Below are 9875 nucleotides of genomic sequence, written 5' to 3' on the forward strand. Positions count from 1 at the left end.
ATGTGTGTAGAGATTTGCCTTATCATTTTGATCTGCTACATGGTATTCCATGGCATGGATGGACCATGGTTTATTTACCAAATTCCACATTCATTGATATTTAGTTTTCCTGCCAAAACTTCACTATTATAAACAATACCACAGTGAGCATCCGCAGGCAGCTCTCTGAGCGCATGTGTATTTCTACAAAATTGGGCATGCTGGGCAATGATGGATAGAGCTACCTCATCACCACCAGGGCTTTGCCAATTTGCACTCCCTCCACCCACACATGAGAGGATGAGAGGGCCTACTTCCCCCACACTCACCAAGCCATCTGTCATTTAAAAAAAATTCCCATTATGATTATTTTTGTTGTAATTTTTTTTTTAGCTATAGCTCATTGCAGCCTCAAACTCCTGGGCTCAAGCCATCCTCCTACCTCAGCCCCCTGAGAAGCTGGGACTACAGACTGATGCCACCACACCTAGCTAATTTTTAATTTTTTTGTAGCGATGGGGGTCTTACTATGTTGCCTAGGCTATTCCCAAACTCCTGACTTCAAGCGATCCTCCTAACTCAGCGTCCCAAAGAGCAGGGATTACAGACATGAGGCAACCCCAGGCCATTTGTTATAATTTGAATTTCTCTTGTTAGTATTAATGTGGAGCCCCTTATCATTTATGTATTAGCTCTTTGTATTTTCTGATCTGTTCTTTGCCTTTTTAAATTATTTGGCCATTGTTTTGTGCTTAGTTGGTTTCTTTCTTTTCCAATTATGTTAGTTCTTTTCTATTTTACAAAAAATGCATTGATTATACCTTAATAAATGGAATATATAATTTATGTTCAGTAAACTGCATTCCTTCAAAGCAGAGTTTCTCAACCTAGCACTGTTGACATTTTGGGTCAGACAATTCTTTGCTGTGGCGGCTGTCCTGGGCACTGTAGGATGTTGAGCGGCATCTCCTGCCTCTACCCACGAGACACCAGTAGCATCACCTACCCCCATGCTGACCAAATGTCTCTGCACTTTGCCGAATGTCTCCTGGGGGTAAACCATCCTGGGTTGAGAACCTCTGATTTAAAGTGTACAGTTTGATGAGCTTTGATCGATGTGTACAACCAAGAATCCACCGCCTCCTCCAAGATCTTTGCGTTTCGTTATAAATATTTCCCCCCATCTGAGACTTGGACCTTCCTATTGGTGTAACCTCAGTCGAGTCACTTCATTTCCCTGAGTCTCAGTTTCCTCAGCTGTGAAATGGGGATAATGATTCTGACCAGGCAGTGGTGTCATGGGACTCAGAGTGAACAATGCGTGTGGCTGGCATGTCATACGAGTGCAGTGAGTGCTAATTCTCTTGTCTTCCCTCACTGTGTGTGTATTTATTTAGTCCATAGATATTACCTGAACACCTACTATGTGCCAGGCCCTGGGCTGGACACTGGATACCGTGGAAAACAAGACAGAAAAGGTCCATGTCCTCTACTGGGGGAGACAGACAGCAAAGAAGCCAACAAATGAATAAATAAGAGCAGTGTTCCCCGATGACCCCACACAGACCCATGCTGGGAAGCAACAAGATGCGCAATGTGGTGGAGAGGGCCCGGCGTGGGCAGTGGTCTTTGGAGAGAGTGAGAAGGTGCTGTCTAAGCTGAGTGCAGGAGAAGCTAGAGCAGCACGGAAGGGAAATCTAGTCAGAGGGAACAGCAAGTACGGCAGCTGTGAGGCTGGAGCTTGGACCTGGAGAGCTCCCATAAGGCCTTTCCCATGACAGCCAACAGGGGAGGAGAACCCATGGGAGGGGAACCCAGGGAAAGGCAGGTGCTTAGGGCTGCGCCCAAGGCCAGATAATGTTGGGGAGTGGCCAGAAGTGCAGTGGGCCAGGGCCAGGTGGGCTGAGGGCCTGGGACCTGCCTTACCTGCAGGCCCTTGTGGCGCCTCTTGTTCTGACTGTGGATTCTGCTCTGTTTCTGCAGCTGCCCCACCAGGTGGGGACTTGCAGCCCCCAACTCGGTGTTTTTTGGGACACTGCCAGGCCAGACAAGTGTTGCTGCCCCCCAGGCACCGGGACTGAGCCGAGGGTCTTATGTGTAATCAGCACCCAGAAAACATGTGTGGAACTCAACTAGGTCCTGCCTCAGTTTCTCCACCTTGTATTTCCAGCCTCTGCCATTCACTCTGATTTGCCATGTGTCACAACCAGCACTCTGCGAGTTGCAGGGGATGCTTCAATGACCACCATATACGGTTCCTGTCCTTAGGGAGCTCACATTCTGACTGGGCAGAAATAACTCCATGCTCAGCACTGTGAGGGTGAGTGTGGCAGGGACCATCAGTGTCCGCCAATATCCATCAGCTTTTTTTTCATACTGAGAGAATTTTGGAGCATTAGTGGGAAACACGCTAACATAATCGGCAGATAGTGATTCTATTTTCCAGCCTCCTTTGCAATTACGTGTGGTCATATGACTAAGCTCCAGCCAATGGGATTAAGTAGAGGTGATAGGCACCGCTTCTGAGGCATGCCCTTAAGAGGAATGAGCCTTTCTCTCTCCCCTCTGCCTGGAACGTAGATGTGATGGAGAAGCTATAGCAGCTGTTTTGGACTTGACTGGAAGCTATGGATTGAGGATGACAACTAGAGAGAAGGAACCCAGAATTCCAGAATGAGCTTGCGAACTAAACCTTCCCCAAAAGAGGCAAATTTTAAAGCCTTGACAATGAGAATGAAGACTTTTTGAGACAAAGTTTCCAGGAGAGACATAGCGTATAGGCAGATCCAGGGGCAGGAGAGAACATGGAGAATTTGAGGTACCTAAAGAAGTGGAGGATGGCTGGACCATAAAGGATAATGGGGCAGGTGAGATGGGGCTGGAGAGGTGGCAGAAGCCACTTTGAGGAGCCTGAAAGAGCCAGGTTAAGCCCTTTGGACTTTGTCCTGTGGGTAAAAGGGAGTCATGGAAGGCTTATGGAAGGAGAGGGAGTGATTAGATTTGCTTCTTAGAGCGATCTCCCTGGCCACAGGGCAGGGAATGAATTTATTCATTTATAGGATTCAGGAAAAAAATTGAGGCCCTACTATGTGTCAAGCACTAAAGGTTATCAGTGAACAAAACAGACCTAATTCCCATTCTCATGGAGTTGCAACCTGGTGGGGTGAGACACGTGTGAAATAATCACACAGGTAAATAAGAAGTGTGATCAGGGCAATGGAGAGATGTACGTCAGGATGTGAGGTTTGTAATGAGGCGTTCAACTTGGGGGGCTCAGAAGAGCTTTCCTGAGCAAGGTGACAGGGAAACAGGAGTGGGAAGAGTTCTGTTCAGAGGAAACAGCATGGGCTGTTGATGCCCAGACAGCAGCAGGGAGAGTGGGGGCTTGGCTGGTGTCCAGGTGGAAGATGATGGCAGAGCTGGAGAGACATGGGCACAGATGGAGAAGGAAAGCAGGGACTCTTGAGGGCCAGCCATCTTCTGGCTTGAGCAAGGTGTGTACCAACAGAGAAGTCCAGTGGGGAGGAAATATGATGAGTTCAAATATAGTGTGTTGGATTTGAGGTTCCCATAAGCCAATCAAGTGGAGATGCTGACTGGGTCTTTGCATACCAGGGTCTGGTACCCAGGGGGACTCCCTGGCTAATTACAGTCATGATCCTTCCACCTGGAGCACTGTGTGGACTCCCAGTCTCGAGCTTGCCAAGTGCCAGCCTTTGAGGGCACCTCATGTGTGCCGGGAGTTGTGCTTACGGTAGACACAGTGGTTGCACATCCATGACTTCTTTGCTGACGGGATTCAGTTTTGTTGGTTATGCCTCTACTCAGGAGCTCAGGGAAAGTGGCTATTCCTCGCCCCGGCTTCAGAGTGAGTTATAGGTCCAAGCCAACTGTGGCCATTCTCATTCCTCCGTCAGTGATTCGTTTGGAATTATAGATGTGATGCCATCTTGGCCAATAAGAAGTCTGCAGATCTGCAGAAGGGAAATTTGGGAACAATTTTCTCCATCATAAAAGGAGACACAGGGGAAAAAATGCCCTCCTCCTCTTTGTTTGATTTTATCATGTCCCAGTGTGATGCCTGGAGCCACAACAGCTGTCTTGAAACCATGAGGAGACGTGTCCATAAATTGCTGAGAATGGCATAGCAGGAAGATGAAAATAATGTGAATCACTGGTTATATCTTTATGCCTCTAAATGAAACAACCCTGTTAAATGAAATTATAAGTCCTCTATCTTTTTATTTTGCCTTCTTTAGTCAAGTGTTTTGCTCCTTGTGGCTGAAGACATTCTGACTAAGAAAGTGTTCTTATGCACTATCTCACTTAATCCTCTCATAAACCTCTGAGGTTGATATTACTATTACAGCCATTTTACAATAAAGAAACGGAGGCTCTGGGCAGTAAATGACTTTTCCAAGGTCACAAGGACAGTGAGTTACAGAGTTGGGATTGGAGTCAAGGATCAAGTGTTGATCTGAGAGTGTAACTGATCTATAGCCACAATTTCCTTTTAAAAGTCTTTCCCCTAACACATTTTTAGTAGGGAACCGTAACCCTGTTCTTATTTTTCTCTGGAAAACTGTGATTATGGTTGGTGGGAAATTTAGAGTGGGCTGCATTTCTTTGTACACAGTTAATGGCTTTGATTACATGTTTCTGGTTTCTTTATTCTGAGAAAGGCTGCCATTGGTTGTAGAATATAATCAAATCATTTCTTATGTAAACAGCCGTGTGGCACAGAGCCAGAGCAGTTCCATCAGCAGGAAGGTGAAAATGAAACTGTGTTGCCAGCCCCGGAAAGCAATCTGCTATTCAGAGGAAAAGATCAAGGATTAATGACATGGAGTTGGGCAAAGGCTGTTGCTGTGGCTCTGAGCATTATCAGGAGGCAGGGAACAAAGAACAGTTGTTACATGGGTTTGTTACAAAAGTTTTTCCTAATGTAATTCATGCAATGCTTGCCAAACACCAAGTATATCCTTAGAAAGCAGAAGGGAACAAAAAGAAAGGAAGGAAAGAAGGAAGGTAGGGAGGGAGGGAGGGAGGGAGGGAGGGAGGGAGGGAGACTTTTATCATCAATTATAAGACTCTTAGAAAGCTTTACTATCCTTAATATACAAAGAGTTCTTTGCAAAACAGTAACAGGCAAACCCTTTATTAAAAATCCACTATTCTGGCAGGTGAGGTGGCTCGTGCCTATAATCCCAGCACTTCGGGAGGCCGAGGTGGGAGGATTACTTGTGCTCAGGAGTTTAAGACAAACCTGGTAACACAGCAAGATCTCGTCTCTGCAAAAAATAGGGAAAATTAGACAGGTGTGGTGGCATATGCCTGTAGTCCCAGCTACTTGGGAGGCTGATGTGGGAGGATCGTCTGAGCCTGGGAAGTGGAGACTGCAGTGAGCTGAGATTGTGCCATTGCACTCCAGCCTGGGAGACAAAGGGAGACCCTGCCTCAAAAAAAAAATCAACTATTCACAAATGAAGAAGTACAAAACGTGTGAAGACAAGTTCCACCCCACCAGTTATCAAGGAAATGTAAATAAAAGCTACAATGATATGTCATTTTCTGCCTATCAGTTTAGCAAAGACAAAAAAAGATTGGCAACTCTCAGTGTTGCAGAGTAGATTCTCATACTCTCCCAAAGGGCTCTACAAGGGTCTCTGGGAGCAGAATGGCAACAAGCACCATGCCATTCACTGGGCAGAAATTTTAAAGCAACCTGGAAATTTAATTTGAGGGCATTTATTCTAAGATGTAATAGGCCAAGTAGTCTCTATGGGGAAGGTCGTTCATTGCAGCATTGTTTATAATGAAAAACTGGGGGAAAAAACTCTGAAATGCCAAACTACAGAAGATTCATTAAGCAAACAATAGTCCTCATATAATGAAATGCTGTATTAAAAAATTATGAAATTGTGTTAAATATAAAACATTGTGTTAAGCTCTATTAAAAATACTCATTAAAATGACAATATAGAGGGCCAGACTCAGTGGCTCACACCTGTAATCCCAGCACTTTGGGAGGCCAAGGTGGGCAGATCACAAGGTCAGGAGTTCAAGACCAGCCTGATGAACATGGCAAAACCCCATCTCTACTAAACATACAAAAATTAGCCAGGTGTGGTGACAGGCGCCTGTAATCCCAGCTACTCGGGAGGCTGAGGTAGGAGAAGCTCTTGAACCTAGGCAGTGGAGGCTGCAGTGAGCCGAGATCATTCCACGACGTTCCAGCCTGGGTACCACAGTGAGACTCTCTCTCAAAAAACAAACAAACAAACAAACAAACAAAAAAGGTAATGTAGAGAGATGGCCATGACATTGTAGAGAAAAGCATTTTCGTGTGCATAATCTCATTTGTATTAAGTTGTGTGTGCAATGGGCATACATTAAAAAGTGTAATCTAAAGGATGTTTCCCAAAATGTTGGCAGTGTTTATTTCTGGGCGGTAGGGGTAATTTTTACATTCCTTTAAATCAGGGTTTCTCAACCTTGACACTATTGACATTTTGTGTCAGATAATTTTCATTGCAGGGGACTGTCCTGGGCACTGTGGGATGTTTAGTGGCATATCTGGCCTCTCCCCACTAGATGCCAGGAGCACCCCTACCCCCAATCCTAACAACCAAAAATGTATCCAGATATTGCCACATGTCTCCTGGGGGACTAAACAACCCTTGGTTGAGAACCACTATTTTAAATGCTTTTCTGCATTATTTAAATATTTTAACAACAAGCATGTATTGTTATCATAATGAGAAAAACAAACACATTTTTAAAAATTCAGTAAAGTCATCTGAGGCTCTGTGAATTGACTTTGGATTTGGTCAGCAAAATTCAGTCAGAGACCACAGAAATCTGTTATCTTATGTTTGACACAAGGTTCTGGTGAAATATCTGGACATTTAGCAAAGTTTTCCCTGGGTTGGTTTTTGCTCGAAAAACAGCTTCTTTTTTTGCTATGGATTTGAACATAATTAAACTCCTAGAGTGGATGCTTTGACGGTCTTGCCCACTTTCTGTTCTTTTGGTAACTACTCCAATTTTGAAGGGATTGCCACGCTTCTCTCATGTGGTCCCCCTTTTGGGGGAGCTGACTGCCTTCCTGACTCCAAATCTAAGCTAATTTTCTGAATCTCACCTTCAGCTTTAGCCACTGGTTCAAGGACGGACATGTAAGCAGGTTAGTTTGAGTCTAAAGAAGAATCAATGTCAGGAGCTTCTGGAAAAGATGACTTTCAAGTAGCCACTCAAAGAGATCTTTGTTTGGACAGAATGAGACCTGAAATTGTCATGCTTGTTTTTACGCCGTGAAGAAAACCAGCCAGAGGAAACAAACAAACAAACAAAAACTGACACACGGAAGTTGAAGCTCTGATCAAACCAAGTCTGAAGCTCACTCTTCTACTCGGCTTTTCATTAATACAAGCCAATAAGTCTCTTTTATACTTTAAATCAGTGTGAACTGAGTTTCTATTCCTTAAAGCCCAAAGCTAACTTGTACAACCTCCTTTGATAAGAGGAACCTCTCCCAGAGTCCTGCGTTCATGTCATTTTAGCAAATATGTATTGGACCCTTACTGGACACCAGGCCCAGTGTCTGATCCTGGGGGGACGAAGATGATGAAGACACAATCGTGGCCTTTGAGGAATGTGCTACCTGGGGTTGGGGAAGATGAGAGTGTGGGATGTGTGCCATGATGACAGGGACACAGAGACAGTCGGCTTGGGGTTGGGGAGAAGAAATCCTTGACTGAGCCTGTCTGAAAGGAGAGTAGGGAAGGGAGAAGGGCATCTGCCAGCCTGGATGCTTGAGAGATTGCTGTAAGGCAGGGCAGCCACCGTGTGCAGAAATGAAAGAGCTGTCGAGATGGGGAGCATGACCCCGGAGGCCTCCGGGGAACCCCACATAAAGGTGGCTCAGGCAGGACTGGGTCCCCAGAGAGAACCCTGCAGCTTTAGAGCATGAGCCCCACCTCCCACCTCCCGCCACTTGGTGCAGTCCAGCTGCTGGCAGAGAAGGTGGGGGTTGGGGAGGGACCCCTTGTCAGAGCCCAGCTTTTTCATTCCAAGGATGGAAAGACCAAAATATCAGCAAAGATGACAAGGATGAATATTCTATCAACAGCATTCATTCCACACAAGCTCCTATGGCAGAGGGCAAAATCAACCCAGGCTTAGGGATTGGTGGGAGATAGATAATCACCTATAACCCTGAAAAATATAAAGCTTTGATCATGCTCTAGGGGTTTCTAACAGACATTCCAGGGAAGTCAGGGAAGGCTTCTTGGAGGAAGAAGCACTTAAGCCAAGAGCTAAAGGGAAACAAGTTCCCTTGGCAAAGCTGGGAAGGAAGGGGTTTCAGATGGAGGGAACAGCCTGTGCAAAGGGCCTGTGGCAGGAAAGAACATATACGAGCAAGGGCTTTGCATTCACACCCTACTTTTCATGGGTCCTGACCACAAGCCTGTAAGGTAGGTCTTGTTATCACCATTTTAGAAATGAAGACATTGAGACTTAGAGAAGCAGTGACCTGCCCAGGGACACACAGCCAGGAAGCAGCAGAAATGGGAATTGAACCTGCGTTCTTCATCATACCCTGGTCTGTCCCTGGTAGGGGTCAACCAGCAGCTTTCTGACTGCTGGGATACTTCTTTTTGAGAACACAACAGTTCTAAAAGTGTGGTCCAAGGATCCCTAGGGGTCTCCAAGATCCATTCAAGGGCTTCATAGGATTATTTGCTGTTTTTACTCTCATTCTCACACGAGTGTAAAGAGTTTGAAAAGTTCACTGATAGATGTTTAGGTTGCACATTGCAACTGAATTTAAGACATTACCACTGGCTAGGTTTTGTGTAGCATTAAGGAAAATTCATGGCCGGGTGTGGTGGCTCATGCCTGTAATCCCAGCACTCTGGGAGGCTGAGGCAGGCAGATCACCTGAGGTCAGGAGTTCAAGACCAGCCTGGCCAATATCCATCTCTACTAAAAATACCAAAATTAGCTGGGCATGGGGGTGGATATCTGTAATCCCAGCTACTTGGGAGGCTGAGGCAGAAGAATCACTTGAACCCAGGAGGCGGAGGCGGAGGCTGCAGTGAGCTGAGATTGCGCCACTGCACTGCAGCCTGGGTGACAGAGTGAGACTGTGTCTCAATATATATGTATTTCACAATGTGACAATATCCTCCCTTTTTCCAACTATATTCCTTTGGAAGCCAGGTTTTCTCAGGTACTTAATCCTAAACAAAGTCTCACAGCAGATCCACCACAGAAGCAGGTGTGAGGACCCGCTGTCCCCCGAGGCCAGCTGTTAGAAAGAGAGGCAGAAATATCCACAATCCAACAAATGCCACTTCTCTCACTAGGTTTGTCTGTTTTAAAATGCATAGTTATTTATTATAAAAATGTTATGTTCATGTAATGAATTTATTATTACATTTGAGTGAACAAATAGTTACACATTTCTTAGTTTTCATTTCTAACATGAATATCGACTGATAGAATCCACACAAGCAAGAGCTCCTTGGGGTTCTCAGCAGTTTTTTACAATGTAAAGGGATCCTGAGGGCTGCTGTCTGGGGAGGTTGCAGAACTGGCCTGTCTTCCCTGCCCTGCACACCACCAGGCCCCTGCTCTCTTCCTTTCTCCCTTCCACCCTTCTGCCCTTTCTCCCTCTAAGTCTGTACTCAGTGCCCCCGGGAAGGGCTGGGACACCAAGTACGGGGATCCCAGGAGGCTTCCTGGCTTTTGAGTTTCAAAAGTTGAGAGGAGCAGGAAGAACTCACATCTTGCAGAGAGCAAGGCTCCCCTACCCAGAACCAGAGCCAGCGTCGCAGGGTAGGTACAGAGAGGGGGTGTCAGGGGTGGCCCCTAGCCTGGGACTGAGCCCA

General features: G+C 45.9%; 1 annotated feature.

Moving 5' to 3' along the window:
- Positions 479-648: an enhancer, noted in NCBI's record as "experimental_99715 CRE fragment used in MPRA reporter constructs". NCBI's record gives its function as "activates a minimal promoter by MPRAs in K562 erythroleukemia cells, with activity observed for both the introgressed and non-introgressed 7:57439486 variant alleles {active_cell/tissue: K562}" and the evidence as "EXISTENCE:reporter gene assay evidence [ECO:0000049][PMID:34662402]".

This window comes from Homo sapiens, chromosome 7 (genome assembly GCF_000001405.40).
Source record: "Homo sapiens chromosome 7, GRCh38.p14 Primary Assembly".
Lineage (NCBI taxonomy): Eukaryota > Metazoa > Chordata > Mammalia > Primates > Hominidae > Homo > Homo sapiens.